This window comes from Homo sapiens, chromosome 7 (assembly GCF_000001405.40).
Source record: "Homo sapiens chromosome 7, GRCh38.p14 Primary Assembly".
In the NCBI taxonomy this organism is placed as follows: Eukaryota; Metazoa; Chordata; class Mammalia; order Primates; family Hominidae; genus Homo; species Homo sapiens.
The window spans coordinates 71,488,604-71,508,211 of NC_000007.14; the positions used below are offsets into that span (position 1 = coordinate 71,488,604).

The 19,608-nt window shown below is 46.4% G+C and overlaps 1 protein-coding gene across 3 annotated transcripts in view, besides 3 other annotated features; it reads left to right on the forward strand.

Annotated features, from left to right (window-relative positions):
* GALNT17 (polypeptide N-acetylgalactosaminyltransferase 17) overlaps positions 1–19,608 on the forward strand; it is a 581,456-nt gene that overhangs the window by 356,460 nt on the left and 205,388 nt on the right. The window lies entirely within an intron of this gene.
* Positions 559–1,278: an enhancer, noted in NCBI's record as "H3K27ac hESC enhancer chr7:70954147-70954866 (GRCh37/hg19 assembly coordinates)". NCBI's record gives its function as "activates a minimal SCP1, AML or CMV promoter by ChIP-STARR-seq in primed H9 embryonic stem cells {active_cell/tissue: H9 hESC(primed)}" and the evidence as "EXISTENCE:reporter gene assay evidence [ECO:0000049][PMID:30033119]".
* Positions 1,279–1,997: an enhancer, noted in NCBI's record as "H3K27ac hESC enhancer chr7:70954867-70955585 (GRCh37/hg19 assembly coordinates)". NCBI's record gives its function as "activates a minimal SCP1, AML or CMV promoter by ChIP-STARR-seq in primed H9 embryonic stem cells {active_cell/tissue: H9 hESC(primed)}" and the evidence as "EXISTENCE:reporter gene assay evidence [ECO:0000049][PMID:30033119]".
* Positions 1,998–2,716: an enhancer, noted in NCBI's record as "H3K27ac hESC enhancer chr7:70955586-70956304 (GRCh37/hg19 assembly coordinates)". NCBI's record gives its function as "activates a minimal SCP1, AML or CMV promoter by ChIP-STARR-seq in primed H9 embryonic stem cells {active_cell/tissue: H9 hESC(primed)}" and the evidence as "EXISTENCE:reporter gene assay evidence [ECO:0000049][PMID:30033119]".

The following is a 19,608-nucleotide window of genomic DNA, read 5'->3' on the forward strand; positions in this document are numbered from 1 at the left end:
GAGTTTTACTGTATTGCCCAAGCTGGAGTGCAGTGGCAGGATCTTGGCTCACTGCAACCTCTGCCTCCTAGGTTCAAGCAATTCTCTTGCCTCAGCCTGTGAGTAGCTTGGGACTACAGGCGAGCACCACCACACCCCGCTAATTTTTTTGTATTTTTAGTAGAGACGGGGTTTCACTATGTTGGCCAGGCTGGTCTCGAATTCCTGGCCTCAAGTGATCCACCTGCCTCAACCTCCCAAAGTGCTGGGATTACAGGCATGAGCCACCGCGCCCAGCCAGGTTTCCTTTTTTTTTTTTTTTTTTTTTTTTGAGACAGTCTTGCTTTGTTGCCCAGGCCAGAGTGTAGTGGTAAGACCTTAGCTCACTGCAGTCTCTGCCTCCCAGATTCAAGCGATTCTCCTGCCTCAGCCTCCCAAGTACCTGGGACTACAGGCGAGCACCACCACACCTCGCAAATTTTTGTATTTTTAGGAGAGACAGGGTTTCACTATGTTGGTCAGGCTGGTCTTGAACTCCTGGCCTCAAGTGATCTGCCTGCCTCGACCTCCCAAAGTGTTGGGATTACAGGCATGAGCCACTGCACCCAACCAGGTTTGTCTCATAATCAAATTCTCAAGTAGTGCAGATACTGTGGCTCTAGGGGCCACACTCTAAGAACCTTCAGATGGGTCAGCCGGACACCTACACCTGACTATCGTCTTAAAATGCTTCATTCACACCCAGCTCTTATAGGGGAGGACAGATTTAGGCCTGGAAACCTGAGAGAAGATCAGGAGATTCAGACACAACACAAATTGATAATGATCAACAGGCTTTGGCCTCAGCTATTTGCCATGGTAAGTGACTTAACTGTTCTGAGCCTGTGTCTTCATCTGTAAAAAGAGGATAAGAAAGCTATCACATAGGATTGTTGTAAGGATTGGATAAGAGATCAAGTGTGGAAGGTGTTAGCTGATGTGAGACTGTTGTGCTGAACCCCTATTAACCTCAGAAGGGAGAGCCCCAGGCTCAAGAGCCTGAAGGAGAGACCCAGCACCAGCCAACGAGACATGGGATTTTACTAGAGGCTTACATACAGGGGAGAGAGTCCATTGGCGGCGGGCTGGGCAGGAAAACTGCAACCGCCTGCAAACATCATGTAGCTTATACAGCATTTTCACTTAACACCCTTCCCTCAATGACCTCCACCTGACAACGTTCATTTAACCCCAAATTCAGGGCCTCAATCTCCTGTATGGCTGGGGGCTCAGATGTTCATCATAGATAAGGAATGAATCTCTGCATTGGCCACGCTGTGTAATCCCAGCACTTTGGGAGGCCAAGGCGGGAGGATCTTTTGAGACTAGGAGTCCAAGACCAGCCTGTGCAACATGGTGAGACTCCATCTCTACTACTGCAATCCCAGCACTTTGGGAGGCCGAGGCGGGCAGATCACGAGGTCAGGAGTTTGAGACCAGCCTGGCCAACATGGTGAAATGCCATCTCTACTAAAAATACAAAAAAATTTAGCTGGGCGTGGTGGCGGCACCTGTAATCCCAGCTACTCGGAGGCTGAGGCAGGAGAATCATTTGAACCTGGGAGGCAGAGGTTGCAGTGAGCTGAGATTGAGCCATTGCACTCTAGCCTGGGTGATAGGGCGAGACTCTGTCTCAAAAAAAAAAAAAAGAAGCATGATCTGGAACAGTACTCATGGCCTGGTGATCTCTGTGCCTGTTTTCGTCTCTTTCTTCACCCCGGCTCTGAACATAGATTCAGGTGCATCTGCCATACAGGGTCATTCTTAGGGTATGCTCAAGTTATTCCTATCAGGGGCATTTAGCCTACAGAGACCCCCTTAAGTGTTTGTTGTGCATGGTGGGGACACACACAGGCAGTGGGGAACAGCTCTAGCAAGTGAGGCCAGACTAGTTGGTGTTCTCTGGGCAAGGGCACTTTGGGAGGCTGAGGCAGAAGGGTCCCTTGAGGCCTGGGCAACATAGCCAGATGCCATCTCTACAAAATATAAACAAATTAGCCAGGCAAGGTGGCATGTGCCTATACTCACAGTACTTCGGGAGGCTGAGGCAGGAGAATCCCTTGAGGCCAGGAGTTTGAGACCAGCCTGGGCAATACAGCAAGCCCCCATCTCTACAAAATATAAACAAATTAGCCAGGCAAGGTGGCATGTGCCTGTACTCCCAGTACTTTGGAAGGCTGAGGCAGGAGGATCTCTTGAGCCCAGGAGTTCGAGGCAGCAGTGAGCTATGATCGCACCACTGCACTCCAGCCTAGGTAGCAGACCCTGTCTCTTTAAAAAAAGGAAAAATGACTGGGCGTGGTGGCTCATGCCTGTAATCCCAGCACTTTGGGAGGCCGAGGCAGGCGGATCACCTGAGGTTGGGAATTCGAGACCAGCCTGACCAATATGGAGAAACCCCCGTCTCTACTAAAAATACAAAATTAGCCGGGTAGGGTGGCACATGCCCGTAATCCCAGCTACTAGGGAGGCTGAGGCAGGAGAATCACTTGAACCCAGGAGGCAGAGGTTGCAGTGAGCCGAGATTGTACCATTGCACTCCAGCCTGGGCAACAAGAGCGAAAATCCGTCTCAGAAAAAAACAAAAAAAAGAAAAGAAAAACACAACATTTTGCCCTTCTGGTGCTCTGGGTTCTGTCTCCTGCTCATGCTCCCTGGGTCTTCATGGCACTATTGAGTAGCTGGCAGTGACGGGGTAGGAGTGGTGGTACCAGCAGCCTTCATTTTTTCCTAGACAGGAATGTAAGAAGCAGGCACGACGCCTTCTCTCCAACAGTTGCATTTTACAGCTTATGATTTATAGCGAGGTCCATCATGGCAGGGAAGCACACACCATTATTTATGTGTTTGTACCCTGCCTTGTTCCAAGGAAGATTTAAGGCAGCTGCAGACCCCGGTAAATTAATCCACTATCTGTGCAGTGGAGAGAGGCAGGGTTCCCATATCAGCCCGGATAGGTTAGCTTGCTGAAGTGGCCTTAGCGGCAGACTCCAGTCCATCCTGATGCAATCAGAAGAGAATTTGGATCTAAACCAGCTGTTCTCAAACTTAAGTGAGCATTGGAGTGACCTGGGGAACTTGTTCAGCACAGATTGGTCAGTTTCTGATTCCCTAGGTCAGGAGCAGGCCTGAGAATCTGCATTTCTAGCAAGTACCAGGTGGTGCTGATGCTGCTGGCCTGGGAGTCTCACTTTGAGATGCACTGTCCTACGGAAATTCATGCTGTGATTGTCCTTCTGGAAGCGTGAACTTGGGCCAGGCTCAGTGGCTCACACCTGTAATCCCAGCACTTTGGAGGCCAAGGTGGGAGGATCGCTTGAGCCCAGGAATTCAAGACCAGCCTGGGTAACATGGCGAGAGTCCATCTCAAATAAAATAGGCTGGGCACAGTGGTTCACACCTGTAATCCCAGCACTTTGGGAGGCCAAGGTGGGCAGATCATGAGGTCAGGAGATCGAGACCATCCTGGCCAACATGGTGAAACCCCGTCTCTACTAAAAATACAAAATTAGTCGGGCGTGGTGGCACATGCCTGTAATCCCAGCTACTCGGGAGGCTGAGATAGGAGAATCACTTGAACCAGGGAGTCGGAGGTTGCAGTGAGCCGAGATCACGCCACTGCCCTCCAGCCTGGAGACAGAGCAAGACTCCGTCTCAAAATAAATAAATAAATTAATTAAATTAAATATGAATAAAATGGAGGCATGATTTGGAATAGTGTTCATGTGTTCATGCCCAGTGATCTCTGTGCCTGTTTTAGGTTCTCTCTTCACCCCTAGAGCTGCTAGGAGCCTCTCACTTACACCCACCTTCCTGAGATGCATCCTGTGCTAGAATGTGCCAGACTTGGCACCCATGGAAATGCTCTTTTCTTTGGCTGTCACTCTCATGGTCTTGCAAGGAGCCACTATCCTCATTCAACCATAATCTAACTAAGGCATCTAATGGGTGGCTTTCCCTGGTGGAGGAGAAGAGAGAAGCTTAGGTGGCAGGTGGACTTGAGTTCAAAAGTAAATTGGCCAAAGTACTCATGTGAAAGTGAGCACGTCACTCCAGTTCTCTCAGTTTATTAATCTGTCAAATGGAGACAGTACACTTTCGTAGAACCGTTGTGAGAATGCAGTTGGACAATAGAGTGTTTGACGTATCGCTGTTCTCCATCATTATTCCCTTTTCCTTTCGAAATACATTCTCATGGATCCTTGTCTTGAAGGAGTGACCTGGATGGAGAGTTTGGGGGTGGATTATGATGGACCAGAGAAGTAGCTGTGGAAGATTTGGGGGCCAGGGGATCCGCTATTTAGCATTCTTTAATTCACATGCTATGAATGGTCCCTCTCAGCCCTTAGATTTCTACTTGTATTCAAATAAATTGCACAGCTAAAATAAAGAACTATTTTAGTCAAAATGGTCAGTTTTCAGAATAAATAGTTTTGATGTATGCTACAGCTCATGCATAAATTCAGACAGGTAGTAGACTGTCAGGCTGGGGACACAGAGATGAATGGAGCATCACCTTGTCTTTGAAGAGCTCACAGTCTAATGCTCAAATCCAGCCAGTGCCTTTCAAGGCTCTCCTGGGTTTTTCCTCCAGGACAGTGAGTGTAGGCATGGGCTCCTCTACCCAGCGTGGTTCTGCCAGGCATCTGTGATGTTGCCCCAGTTATCTGGATGTTCTTGACTGGGCCCCAGTTCACCTTCATATTGAAGAATCACGCTCCCTGGTAAAGAGAAGGAAATGAGTTTTGATTGGTGCCTGTGTTAGTCCATTTTCACACTGCTGACAAAGACATACTTAAGACTGGGTAATTTATAAAGAAAAAGAAGTTTAATGGACTCACAGTTCTACGTGGCTGGAGAGGCCTCACAATCACGGTGGAAGGTGAAAGGCACGTCTTACAGGGCAGCAGACAAGAGAGAATGGGAGCCACATGAAAGGGAAACCCCTTATACAACCATCAGATCTTGTGAGACTTGTTCACTATCATGAGAACAGTATGGGGAAACCACCCCTATGATCCAATGATCTCCCCCAGGGATGGTCCCTCCCACAACATGTGAGAATGATGGGAGCTTCAATTCAAGATGAGATTTGGGTAGAAATGCAGCCAGACCCTATCAGTGCCTTTTCTTCCCTTCTGTCCCCTCCACTTCTCCATCCTTCTCCTCATCATCCCATCTCCTTGCCTGTCTTTACCTGTCCTCTCTGAACAATGCAAATATTTCCATTTAAATCTATTATATGTTCTCTTTCTCTCTCTAATAAACATACTTTACTGTTGATGGGATTGATAGATGTTTCAGGTTACTTACTTGCAGAGAAGAAGGAAGTCTATCAGCTTTTATAAAGTTTTTTTTTAAGAGGCAGGGTGTATTAGTCCATTTTCACACTACTCTAAAGAAATACCCGAGACTGGGTAACTTGCAAAGGAAAGAGGTTTAATTGACTCACAGTTCCACTTGGCTGGGGAGGCCTCAGGAAACTTATGATCATGGCAGAAGGTGAAGGGGAAGCAAACTTGGGACTTCTCAGATGGTGGGAGGAGAGACAGTATGTGTGTGAAGGAGAAACTGTCAAACTCTTAGAAAACCATCATATCACATGAAACTGTCACAAGAACTGCATAGGGGAAATCACCCCATGATCCAATCACCTCCCACCAGGCCCCTCCATCAACACGTGGGGATTATGGGGATTATAATTCGATAAGAGATTTGGGTGGAGACACAGAGCCAAGTCATATCACAGGGTCTTGCTCTGTCACCCAGGCTGGAGTGCAGTGGTGTGATCATAGCTCACTGCAGCCTCAACCTCTGTGGTTCATACGATCCTCCTGCCTCAGCCTCCCAAGTAGCTGGGACTACAGGTGTGCACTAGCACACCTGGCTAATTTTTGTATTTTTTGTTTGTTTGTTTTGTAGAAATGGGGCCTCACTGTATTACCCAGTCTGGTCTTGAATTCCTGGGCTCAAGTAACTCTCCTGCCTTGGCCTCCCAAACTATTGGGAGTACAGGTCTGAGCTACTGTGCCTCACTTGTCAGCTTTGTGATAAAGCAGAGAGAAGCTGTATTAGTCTGTTCTCATACTGCTAATAAAGACATACCTGAGACTGGGCAATTTATAAAGGAAAGAGGTTTAATTGACTCAGTTCCACGTGGCTGGGGAGGCCTCACAATCACGGCTGAAGGCAAATGAGCAAAGTCACGTCTTACATGGCAGCAGGCAGGAAAGCTTGTGCGGGGGAACTCCCGTTTATACAACCATCAGATCGCGTGAGACTTACTCACTACCACAAGAACAGTATGGAGGCAACTGCCCCCATGATTCAATTGTCTCCACCTGGTACAAATCAAGGTGAGATTTGGGGCCAGGTGCAGTGGCTCATGCCTGTAATCCCATCACTTTGGGAGACTGAGGCAGGTAGATCACCTGAGGTCAGGAATTTGAGACCAGCCTGGCTAACACATAGTGAAACCCTGTCTCTACTAAAAAAAATACAGAAACTAGCTGGGCATGGTGGTGCACACCTGTAGTCCCAGCTACTTGGGAAGCTGAGGCAGGAGAAATGCTTGAACCCAGGAGGCAGAGGCTGCAGTGAGCTGAGACTGTGCCACTGCACTCCAGCCTGGGTGACAGAGCAAGACACCATCTCAAAAAAAAAAGAAAAGAAAAGGTGAGGTTTGGGTGGGGACACAGCCAAGCCATATCAGAAGACAAGCAAAGACACTGTACTCCATATTCTGTGATAATAGCAATGACAACCATAGCAGTTTTCTTTTTTGAGCACTTAATGTGTGCCAGGCATTGTGCTGCTAACATCTGTCTATGGATTAGTAACATAATTAATCAAAATAACCTCGGTGGGGAGGCATTATTATTATCATTATTTTTATTTTACAAGTCAGGCAGAAAGAGGTTAAGATAGCATGCCCAGGACTAGTAGGCAACAGAGCTGAATTTAAGTGCAGGGCCGAGGTCTGATCCCCAGTGGCCAGGCCCCTAATGACTGATCTCCTGACCCGGCCTGGAATGGGAGCACTATACCTTGGCTCATTCCCAGTAACTGGAGGATGCTTGATGGTCACATGTAGAGGCTGATCATTCCTCTGCTTGAATTGGGCATCGTAATAATGCCTTTCCTACATATCATGGCCACTTTCCCTTCCTGTCTCCAATTGTATAGGGAATTGCAGGGTAGGGAAGAGAGGACTCCAGGAGTATCTGATTTTGGTCTAGAGACTGATAAAAATGGGAAGTCCAGGGATCAGCAGGTGCCACCAGGGCAGATGTAAATGATGTCCTTGAGAAGCAAAGAATATTGAGAGTCCAGCCTGCCAAGGTTCGTGATGTCCGCTGCTGCCCACCCCTGCTGTTGCTGATATTGAATGGCAAGGCCAGAAGGCATGGGAACACCATCTGTGGGGGCTCCAGCAGGAAGAGAAAGCACTGGGAACCCATGTGCTCTTTTCGTCCTACAGATGGTCGAGACTTAGAGAGACAAGAACAGCCCCAATGTACTATTATTTTAGTTGCCCTGTCTTAGTTGCACAGGGAAGAGGACTTCAGCAGCTCCCAGGACTTGAATGTGAAGGACCCTGCAGTGGGGAGGCCGGGGGATCAAGGGAATCCCCAGGTGGCAGAAGGGGCCAGCAGCTGGGAGCCAGGCCCCAGAGTTTGTGCTGGCTCAAAGCATCAGTGGGCCAGTTGGAGACCGGGCTGTCTTACTCTGGTGGGGGTGGGGAGACATCTTTAGCATTTGAGGGGAGCATCTTTCTAGAGAAACAGCAGGGCATAGGACCTGTTTGGTGGACCTCACGTATTGGTGAGGTCACTAGCCACAGGTTGAACCAAAGGAAGTCAAAATGAGGACAGAGACCCCTCTCCGCACAGACATCGTCCAGTGACATAGAAATGATCTCCGCCTTCCTTTCCACCTGCCCTCCTTCCCCGAAGCCCAACCTGAAAGGAGTGGAGGAGAGAGACCATGAGGGAGGGTGAGGAGGAAGGCACTACAGAAACAGACAGCACCCTCTTTCCTGTCCTAAGCCCCCAGCTGCCCTGAGGAAGCATAAGAGCCATGAAAACAGAGTGAGTTCAGTGTTCTCAATTGAACCGGCCTAAATATCAATCACTGAAAATGACCTGGGCCGGATGGGGTGGGGTGGGGAGCGGGGGGCGGAGCACTTACACCTGTAATCCTAGCACTTTGGGCGGCCAAGGCAGGAGGATTGCTCGAGGCCAGGAGTCTGAGACCAGCCTGGGCAAAGTAGCGAGACCATGTCTATACAAAAATTAAAAAAAAAAAATAACCAAGTATGATGGCATGCACCTGTAGTCCCAGCTACTCAGGAGGCTGAGGCAGGAGGATCACTTGAGCCCAGGACTTTGAGGCTGCAGTGAGCTATGATCAAGCCACTGGTGACACAGTGAGACCCTGAATCTCTCTCTCTAAAAGAAGAAAATGATCTGAAAGTTAGGAAAATGATCTGAAAGTTAGGAAATTTGTCTAGGGAGGGAGATGTGGGTCCTCATCCTCTAACTGGGAGCCAGGACTGGATACATTTGACATTTGTATCTGCAATGAGCTGACCTTCTTCTGTGCACTAATCCACTAATGCTGCCATAACACACATTGTGCAAACTGTGTGCCATAGCATAGATTAAGTGGTTTAAACAAGAAACATTTATTTTTTCACAACTCTGGAGGCCAGAAATCCGAGATGAGCATGCAAGCAGCGTTGGTTCTTTCTGAGGCCTCTCTCCTTGGCTTGTCGAAGGCTGTCTTCTCTCTGGGGCCTCACAGTCTTTCCTCAGTCACATTCTGGGTGTGTCTCTGTCCATTTCCTCTTCTTTTAAGGACAGTGAGCACACCGAATTACGGCCCACTCTAATACCCTCATTTTAACTTAATTATCTTTTTAAAGACCCTTTCTCCAAATACAATCACATTCCAGGGTACTGGGGGTTAGGATGTCAACATATGAATGTGGTTACAGGGGACAGGATTTAGCCCATGACAGTCCATTAAATGTAAGTCCACTGTGTGCTTACATGGGGAAGTGTGCTATTTTCCTGGAGCACATGCTGCGTGCAGCCTGCCAAGGTTCATGACGTCCACTGCTGCCCACTCCTGCTGTTGTTGCTGATATTGAATGGCAAGGCCAGAAGGCATGGGAACACCATCTGTGGGGGCTCCAGCAGGAACAGGAAGCACTGGGAACCCAGGTGCTCTTTTTGTCTTACAGATGGCTGAAACTTAGAGAAACAAGAACATCCACAATGTACTATTATTCCATGAAAAGGGCAGTTTGCAAAACCGAAAGTACAGCATGATTGGATTTTAAAAGAATGTTTTTCAAAAAAGAAAAAGAATATGTGTATGCACATGCGTGTGGGATCATGCCTTTTCTCTGTGCAAGCAGAGAATTCAGACGTGAATGTCCGCAGTGGGGTAGCAGAGGTTATTCCTGAAGGCGGGAAGATGGGTGACTACCATTTTAACAATTTATTGTATTTGCTACATTTGCTACAATGAATTTGTTACTTTTGTGATATAAAAGAGAGAAAGAGGGCTGGGCACAGTGTCTCATACCTGTAATCCCAGCACTTTGGTAGGCTGAGGTGGGCGGATCACTTGAGATCAGGAGTTAGAGACCAGCCTGGGCAACATGGTGAGACCCCCGTCTCTACTAAAAATACAAAAATTAGCCGGGTCTGGCGGTTCACGTCTGTAATCCCAGCTGCTTGGGAGGCTGAGGTAGGAGAATCACTTGAGCCTGGTGGAGGTTGCAGTGAGCTGAGATCATACCACTCCACAACAGAGTGAGACTCTGTCTCAAAAAAATAAATAAAAGCAACAACGAAAGAGAGAAAGGGCTATGTAATATTGGAAAGAAACAGGAGGTGAATGTTTAGCGTCATAGTTGGAGTCAGTGAATGGAATTTGGATTTCTGAGCCAGGATTTAAAATGTCAGATTCATGGGTTTGGGAGTACTGAAGAGAATCAAGTGTACAAGGAGGAGATGAACATTTGCCCAGAGTCAAGATGGCTGGAATCAGAAGATCTGAATATGACTGGGGACTGGGGAGTAGAGGACGCTTTGTTGTGTCTGTGAAGCATCACATTAAGAGCAACTGGGCTGCCTCTGAAAACCCTGGAGAAGAATGTTCTTGCAGAAGCCAGATAACTCCATCAAAGAGATGAATAGGGTTGAAATAGATGACATTTAAGGTCCTTCCTAACTCTGAGATTCTGTGGTTTTGTGAAAATGTAGAAGCTCTGAGTTAAGCTACCTTTGAGGACATGGTGACATTTAATGCTAAAAGCATCTGTTGATGTTTTCTTTGAAATCTGCATTGTGCCAACTCCACCTGTAAGGATGACCTGCAGGACATTGGAATATTTTGTGAATCTCCATAGCAACTCTTTCAGCAGAAGTATTTTCTTTGGATGATCTGAAGACACAGGACAGCGAAGCATTTTTTTTTTTAAATCTCCATACCTCATGTCCAAGTTAACTGCTATTTAATTGAATGGCATTTCATTCTCAGACCGTCATCCCCTTACCTGAATGTTAATATTCTTACCTGCAACAAGGCCCCTATTGGGGCAGGGTTGGGGAGTGGAGTGGAGTCATGATTTACTGGTATTTTGCATGAACCAATAACATTTCCAAATCCCATCACTTTGAGAGGCTGAGATGGGAGGATCATATCACTTGAGGCCAGGAGTTCCAGACCAGCCTGGGCAACATAGCGAGACCTCCATGTCTACAAAAAGTAAAAATAAAATCACATTTCTAATCTCAGATGATGTTGATTTGTAGACATTATTGTAAGTGGGAGAGACTCAGTGTAACCTGAACCTAGTACAGTAAAGTGTAGGCTCAGATCACAGTGAGAGGAAATACCACATATAGCAGCATTTTCATTAATGATACGATTGTTTTATAATGAGTGCTCCAAAGATTCCAGGGAAATGCTTCCTTACACTCAGAATGTGTTGCAAAGAAGACTGTTTTCTCTGGCCTCCATCTGCCTGAAATGCACTCCCGATTTCTCTTCATCTATACAGATTTTACCTGCTCCTCCGGAGCCATTTCTAATCCACATTCTTCCTCCATCAAGCCAACACTGACTCACTGATATGGTTTGGCTGTGTCCCCCCACAAATCTCATCTTAAATTGTAGTTCCCATGATCCCTACATATCCTGGGAGGGACCCAGTGGGAGATAATTGGATCATGGGGGTGGTTACCCCCATGCTGCTGTTCTCATGATAGTGAGTTATCACGAAATCTGATGGTTTTATAAGGAGCTTTTCCTCCTTTTGCTTAGCACTTCTCCTGCTATCCTGTGAAGAAGAATGTGTTTGCTTCTCCTTCTACCATCATTGTAAGTTTCCTGAAGCCTCTCCAGCCATGCGGAGCTGTGAGTCAATTAAACCTCTTTCCTTTGTAAATTACCCAGTCTCAGGCAGTCCTTTATAGCAGTGTAAGAATGGACTAATACACTCGTCCATCCCAATTGATTGCTTTTGCCTATAAATTTCCTAGAGCAATTATTGACAATTAATTGCACCGCCTTGCCCTGTCTCCCTTATTACAGTCTTGAATGACTATTAATGTCTATTCTGTATGTTTGTGTCCTCCCATAGTGTTTAGCGAAGGGCTCCAAAAACAGCAGGCACTCAATAAAGGTTCTCTGATTTATTCAGAAGACCACTGTTTGTTGACTGCACGATGATTTTGAACTCAGCTGAGGCAGACCCTATTCGTGGTCCTCCTTGATCCTCCACCTACCACCATCATGAGTGACTTTGGTGTCTACAAAGATGTTCCTTCTAACACACTGGTCTCCCCAGGTCTCAACTTCCTCCTCTCTGTTGGCCTCCTGCATTTGTTCTCAGCCATCCAATCTTATGGCTACACCTCCAGAGCTTGTCATTACCTGCAAAGCAGTAACTCAGACACTCACCCCCTGCCACTTCCTTGCTTGTCCCACTGGCTGTCCTCCAAGCATCCTTTGCTGGCATCAGAACCTGCAGCACATTACTACTCTTTCTTCCAGGGCTCTTTCCTTTCATCACTTTCCCCTTATCTTTTAGATTCCGGGGACCCTCACTGCAGGGAAGATGGGCTCTGATCACCAACCCCAAGTGGCCGTTCACCATGTGGCCATGGTTAAGACAATTCCTACCACCATAGTAAGAGCCGTAGTTTAGCCACTCCTCCAAACCCCTGTCCTCTCTTCTCCCCCTTTACCATATCGATCTAGTTTAGATTCCAGGGCTCATCATTTCAATCATTCCTGTGCTCAATGCTCTTGTTCCACTGTCTTTTTAGTTTATTTATTTATTTTTTTGAGACAGATTCTTACTCCATTACCCAGGCTGGAGTGCAGTGGTGTGATCTTAGCTCACTGCAACTTCTGCCTCCTGGATTCAAGCGATTCCCCTGCCTCAGCCTCCTGAGTAGCTGGGATTACACGCGCTACCACCATGCTCAGCTAATTTTTGTATTTTTAGTAGAGGCAGGGTTTTCTCATGTTGGCCAGGCTGGTCTTGAACTCCTGGCCTCAAATGATCCATCCTCCTCAGCCTCCCAAAGTACTGGGATTACAGGTGTGAGCCACCGCGCCCAGCCTAGTTTAATTTTTTGAGACAGGGTCTCTTTCTGTCATCCATGCTGGAGTGCAGTGCTGTGACCATGGCTCACTGCAGCCTCAAACTCCTGGCCTCAAGTGATCCTCCAGCCTCAGCCTCCCGAGTAGCTGGGACTACAGGCATCTGCCACCATGCCTGGCTAACTTTAAAAAAAAGATGTGTGCAGATGGGGTTTTGCTATGTTGCCCAGGCTGGTCTCAAATTTCTGGCCTCAAGTGATCCTCCGGCCATAACCTTCCAAAGTGGTGGGATGAGAGGTGTGCACCATCATGGCTTCCCTCCTCTGTCTTTTTGTTGTATACAAATGGCAGGATCTCAACCCTAGATGGGTCTTCTCTGGCCAAAACCCATGTCCTGAGTGTTGATAGGGACTCTTAGTGCAGGGCAGACAGGCTCTGATCAACACCCCAAGCAGCCCTGCCCTCCACTCTGGCCATGGTTAAGGAAATGTTTACAGTCATATAGAGTGTCACACAGTTTTGCTACTCCCCCAAACATCTGTCCTTCCTTCTCCCTCTTTCTCACAACAAATGGCTGCATCTTCCATTGCACAGAGGAAGCAGGAGCCATCTCTCAGGAATCTGCTTGTCCTCAGGGTGGCAAAGACAAACTTAAAGATTACCATCCTCCCCTTCTTCCCTCCCATTTCACTAGAGAAGCCCTGTCTCCTCCTAAGCCCGACCCTTCAGCTGCACTCAGATTCCATTCCATGTCTTTGTAGTTTTGCACTGTTTATGGATAATCCCTTAACTCTCCTGTTTATTCAACCTTTCCCTCTCAAATGAATCTCTCCCACTGGCCTTTCAACATACGCAGGCTCTTGCATTAAAATCAAAGCAAAAAGAAGCAAATTAATTTCATATTTGCCAGCATCTACTCTCTTGCCCCTTATGACCAATCTTCACAACCTGTGCTGTGTCTATTCCTCACCACCCATTGATTTTTGCAGCAAATTCTTTTCCAAAGTTAATCACATTAGTATATCCCATCTTTCACAGTCTTGTTACGTGTGATGTTGACACTTTCTCCACTGAGAGATGGGGTCACATTCATCGGAATTGGGAGAATCTTTGTTATCTCAGCCAATGGAATATGGTGGAATGAGGTGGTTGCTGCCTGACCTTCTGGGTTTAGGTCATCCTTTAACATCTGTCAGATATGTCCTTCTTCACATGATGGCAGGAAGGAGAAGCACTGAGCAATACGGTGTGTGTATGTCTCTCTCTCCCTCCATGCATCTTGGGAGCCTTGAGCCAACATGTATGAAGGATGGCTTCCTCAAAGCCACCATGCTGGGAAGACCATGTGAACAGGAACTATAGACACAGAAAATGATGCCCAAGGAGCTCCTGGTGTTTCACCCTCACTGTTTCAATCTTCCCAGTGTCAACCACGGATGTGAAGAATACCTTAGATGATGCCAGCACCCAGCCTTGGAGTCACCCATCTCAGACTGAGTAGAACAGAGACAACCATCCTTACTGAGCTTGACCCCCAATTGTAGATTTGTGAACAAATATATTGTTTTCATAAACTAAGTTTACAATAATGTGTTCCACAGCATGAAGTTGCCGAAACAGCCTCTGACTTCACCCCAGGATATCAGTTTGCCCCATCAAGTGCTTGAGATGGCTCTTAATAGGCACACCGTGTTACTAAGTCAGACATTGTTGAAATGTCTGCTTTCTTGGTCATTAGCCCCCTGCACTGTTGATCACCCACCCTGAAATACTGATTCCTTGGTATCCACTGTATTACCCTCATCTGGACTTTTTCAGCATTCTTCTTACTTGTTGGGCTACTTTTTTCCCCATGATTCTGTCCACAGCTATTAAATGCTGAAATCCTTCAAGACTCACACCTAGACTTCCTTGTCTTCTCACTCCAAGCTTTCTCCCTAGGCAATTCCCTACACGATCACATGTCAATGATCACTTCTATGCATGAGTCATAATTTACATCACTTTTCTGAGCCAGGGTCTCGCTCTGTCACCCAGGCTGGAGTGCAGTGGCGTGATCTCAGCTCACTGCAACCTCTGCCTCCCAGGTTCAAGCTATTCTCCTGCCTCAGCCTCCCGAGTAGCTGGGACTACAGGCACACACCACCATGCCTAATTTTTGTATTTTTAGTAGAGACAGGGCTTTGACATGTTGACCAGGCTGGTCTTGAACTACTGACCTCAAGCGATCTGCCCACCCCGGCCTCCCAAAGTGCTAGAATTACAGGCATGAACCAGTGTGCCTGGCCTATATCACTTTTCTGAGCTCCTGACCCATAGATCCAGTTTCCTACTGGGAATTATCTCTTGGGAATGTCAAAGGTACCTGAAATTCAATGTAGCCAAGATTTCAGTACTGTATTCCTCTTTCTACCTGGTCTGCCTTGCAGGTTCATGAGAGTGTGTTATTGTCCAGGGGTAATTCTACCCAGTGTTTTAGTGAGACAGATGATGTTCCTGCCTTCCTGGAGCTTTTATTCTAGGTACTTAGAACAGATAGTCAAAATACATAAATACGTTAATAAGGGCTGGGCACCGTGGCTCACGCTTGTAATCCCAGCACTTTGAGAGGCTGAGGCGGGCAGATCACGAGGTCAGGAGTTTGAGACCAGCCTGGCCAATACAGTGAAACCCCGTCTCTACTAAAAATACAAAAAATGGCCAGGCGCGGTGGCTCACGCCTATAATCCCAGCACTTTGGGAGGCCGAGGCGGGCGGATCATGAGGTTAGGAGATTGAGCCCATCCTGGCTAACACAGTAAAACCCCATCTCTACCAAAAATACAAAAAATTATCCGGGCATGGTGGCGGGAACCTGTAGTCCCAGCTACTCGGGAGGCTGAGGCAGGAGAATGGTGTGAACCCAGGAGGCGGAGCTGCAGTGAGCCGAGATTGTGCCACTGCACTCCAGCCTGGGTGACAGAGCGAGACTCCATCTCAAAAAAAAAAAAAAAAATTAGCTGGGCTTGGTGGCAGACGTCTGTAATCCCAGCTACTCTCGGGAGGCTGAGGCAGGAGAATTGCTTGAACCTGGGTTGCGGAGGTTGCAGTGAGCCGAGATCGTACCGCTGCACCCTGGGCGACAGAGCTAGACTCCGTCTCAATAAATAAATAAATAAATAAATAAATAAGTGAACTAAAAGAGGGTGACAAACAGCAGACAGTGAATTAGACAAAGGTAATTTGTCAAATTTGCTGTCTGCTATTTATCACTCTCTTTTGGTTTACTTATTTACATATTTTACATAGTTTACTTGCATATTTTAATTAGTTTACTTATTTACATATTTTGCAGTTTATTTACATTTTTTTACCTAGTTTACTTATTTACATATTTTGCATAGTTTACTTATTTACATAGTTTACTTATTTACCTAGTTTACTTATTTACATATTTTACTTATTTACAAATTACCTTTGTCAAATTTGCTGTCTGGTATTTTTCAGTCTTTCAGTTTACTTATTGGGCCTGGCATGGATTCAGGGCAGTGTCAGAAAATACCCTGAATTCTGCCCTCTCTCTGTGGCCCGTCACCTCTCAATGCTACGTCCTGAATAGCTCTCAGATCTCTCTATGCACCTCTGCTGCAGCTACCCGAGGTCATACCATTGTCATCTCTCCCCTGGGTCTCTCTGCTGTAGCCTTTGAACTGGTTTGCTTTCATCCCCTCCTGACATTCTCCAGCATATATCCCACACTGCAATCTTAGGGCAAGTTGGATCACACCCCACACGCTGTTGTGTGCATACACTGCATCATGTAGTGGCCCCTCCTTGCTTTATAGGATTAAAAGTCTGATCTCTTACTTGACCCACAGAACCCAGTGTGCTCTGGTCTTTTCTTTCTCTTTATCCCCAATTTGAACAGTTTCGCTTCTCTTCCACCTCGTGGCCTTCCTCCTCTTCTTCCTGCCACATCTTCCCCAGGCCACAGGACCTTTGCACGTGCTAGTCCCACTGTTGGCATCTCATATCTTCCCTCTCCTGCCAGTGAATTACTTCTCATCCCTCAGAAGTCAGCTCTCCTGGGGCCAGGCACAGTGGCTCACACCTGTAATTCTAATACCTTGGGTGGCTAAGGTGGGAGGATCACTTGAGGCCAAGAGTTCAAGACCAGCCTGAGCAACATAGTGAGACCCCATCTCTACAAAAAAATATAAACATTAGCCATATGGGGTGGCACATACTTGTTGTCCCAGCTACTTACGAGGCTGAAGTGGGAGGATTGCTTGAGCCTGGGAGTTCAGGGCTGCAGTGAGCCATGATCTTGCCACTGCTCTCCAGCCTGGGTGACAGCGTGAGATTCTGTCTCAGAAAAAGAAGTCAGCTCTCCTGGAGAACCTCCTCGGCATTCCTGAAGAGGTCCCATTACCCCATTATGTGCTCTTGGAAGGCCATGTGCTTCTCCTGCCATGTCCAGCTTCAGTGATTCTGCTGTTAACTATGTGAATATTTGAGTATATTTTCCCCTTCAACACAAGCCCTTGGCAGGCTCTTTATAAGTGCCTCCCCTCAGAGAACTTATTTAAAAAGGTGAGAACAGAAAGAGAAGTAATTACTTCTGCTTTTGGGGCACCAAGCATTTAGCTCTCTGATTGTCCAGCCCAACATTTCTCTTAGCTCCATAATAAGCTTCATATACACTTGAGATTCAGAAGCCACAGGCCCCATTGTGTTGATCTCTCTTTCTCTGCCTCTTGGCTACAGCAAAACCAAGACTCAAAACCAAGGGAGAAGTATTTCTTTGATACACAAGTTTCTTTCCTTTGGATAAATACCTAGTAGTAGTGGCATTGGTGGGTGGTATGGTAGTTCTGACCATTACACCTTCTATGCATGTAACAAAATATCACTAGGACTCCATATGTATTTGCAAATATTATGTATCCATAAAAAATAAAATTGGAATTCACAGTTCTAAAATCAAACAGGAGGACACTAGCTGGGGCATAGAAGGAATTTTTATTTTATTTTATTTTATTTTATTTATTTATTTTGAGATGGAGTCTTGCTCTGTCGCCCAGGCTGGAGTGCAGTGGTGCAATCTTGGCTCACTGCAGCCTCCGCCTTCTGGGTTCAAGAGATTCTCCTGCCTCAGCCTCCCGAGTAGCTGGGATTACAGGCACCTGCCCCCACGCCAGTCTAATTTTTGTATTTTTAGTAGAGACTGGGTTTCACCATATTGGCCAGGCTGGTCTCAAACACCTAACCTCAGGTGATCTGCCCACCTCGGCCTCCCAAAGTGCTGGGATTACAGGCGTGAGCTACCCTACCTGGACTTAGGAATATTAATTTTTTACATATAATTTTATGTTTTAATTAACAAATAATAATTGTATATATGTATGGGGTACATAGAGATGTTTCAATACATGCAATATGTAGTAATCAAATCAGGGTAGTTAGCGTGTCTATCATCTCAAACATTTGTCATTTCTTTGTGTTGTACTGGTACATGCAATATTTTCCTTCCAGCTATTTGAGACTATATATTATTGTTCCCTGTAGTCATCTTCCAGTGCTATAGAACACTAGAACTTATTCTTCCCATCTGTTAGGTTGGTGGCAAAGTAATTGCCATTGAAAGTAATGGCAAAACCGCAGTTACTTTTGCAGCAACCTAATAGTTGTAATTTCAAAGGAAGGATTTTTAAAAGCACATTCAGGCCAGGTGCAGAGGCTCACGCCTATAATCCCAGCGTTTTGGGAGGCTGAGGTGGGACGATCGCTTGAGGCCAGGAGTTCCAGGCCAGCCTGGACAACATAGTGAGACCCCATATTTACAAAACAACTAAAAATTAGCTGGGCATAGTGGTGCACACCTGTACTCCCAGTTACTTGGAAGCTGAGGCAAGAGGATCACTGGAGCCCAGGAGGTCGAGGCTGCAGTGAGCCATGATTACACCACAGCACTCCAGCCAGGATGACAAGAGTAAAACCCTGTCTCTAAATAAATAAATAAGTAAATAAAATAAAAGGCACATTCAACGCACCAAAAAGTCTACTGTTAAGCCTTCAGCCTGCTTCATCCCTCCCTTGTCTTGACATACAGTTTTGAGCCTGAAGTTATTTGGCAATTTATTTTTTTATATACAATGAAAATTAAATTCAGCTAAAATGAGGAAAACACTTGGTATGTATCTATACAATCTAGGTGATTTCTGATTTCTGGAGAAAACCTTGTCACAGGTCCAGAATAATTAGGAGATAGTTCTGCTGGAACAGCTGCCTGGCAGTCAGCACTCACCCTGGGTCCGCCTTTGACCCCTTGAGTTTGAATTTTTTTGGCCAGCCTTGGCACACTAAGAAAATTAAACCTGCCTGTGTCTATAGACGCCACTGGGCCCTGAGCCAATGCGTTGGTTAATCTTCGAGCCGTGTCCCTTTAATGCAGCATGAATTTGCATCTTCTGATTACCTGTTTATTACCTGTCAGGTAAAAGAGTGATCTAGAACACTGCACACTTGCCCAGAGTTGGGAAGGAACTGGGAGGTGTTTGCATGCAGGATGAAGAAGGAAGCTCCTCTCTCAAATGATAAGCCTAATTGTTTTAAGCAGGAGGATTTCAAGTTCCCCACGCCTCAGATCAGCATGCAGCTCACAGGCTTTGTTAAGCTTGTGTGACAGAATAATCTCCTTTGTTCAATGCCCGAGGAGGATATTTTCTGCATTATTAGACAAGTCAATGAAGATAAAACAAAATATTAAGTATTTTAAGCTGCGCCAGTCCACCCCGAAGAAATTAAGCCCCCTCATTCTAATTGTGCCTAGTTTCCTTGCCGTAATGAGATGGAGGCTGAGCTGCTGGAATGAGGGGCTTCCTGCAGGCCTGCATGCCCCCCAGTCATTGGAGTGAACCTCTCCTTTCCTCTGCTTAGTTTCTTTCCCTGGGGGAATTTTTAGAGCCAGAGACCTGGTCTCCA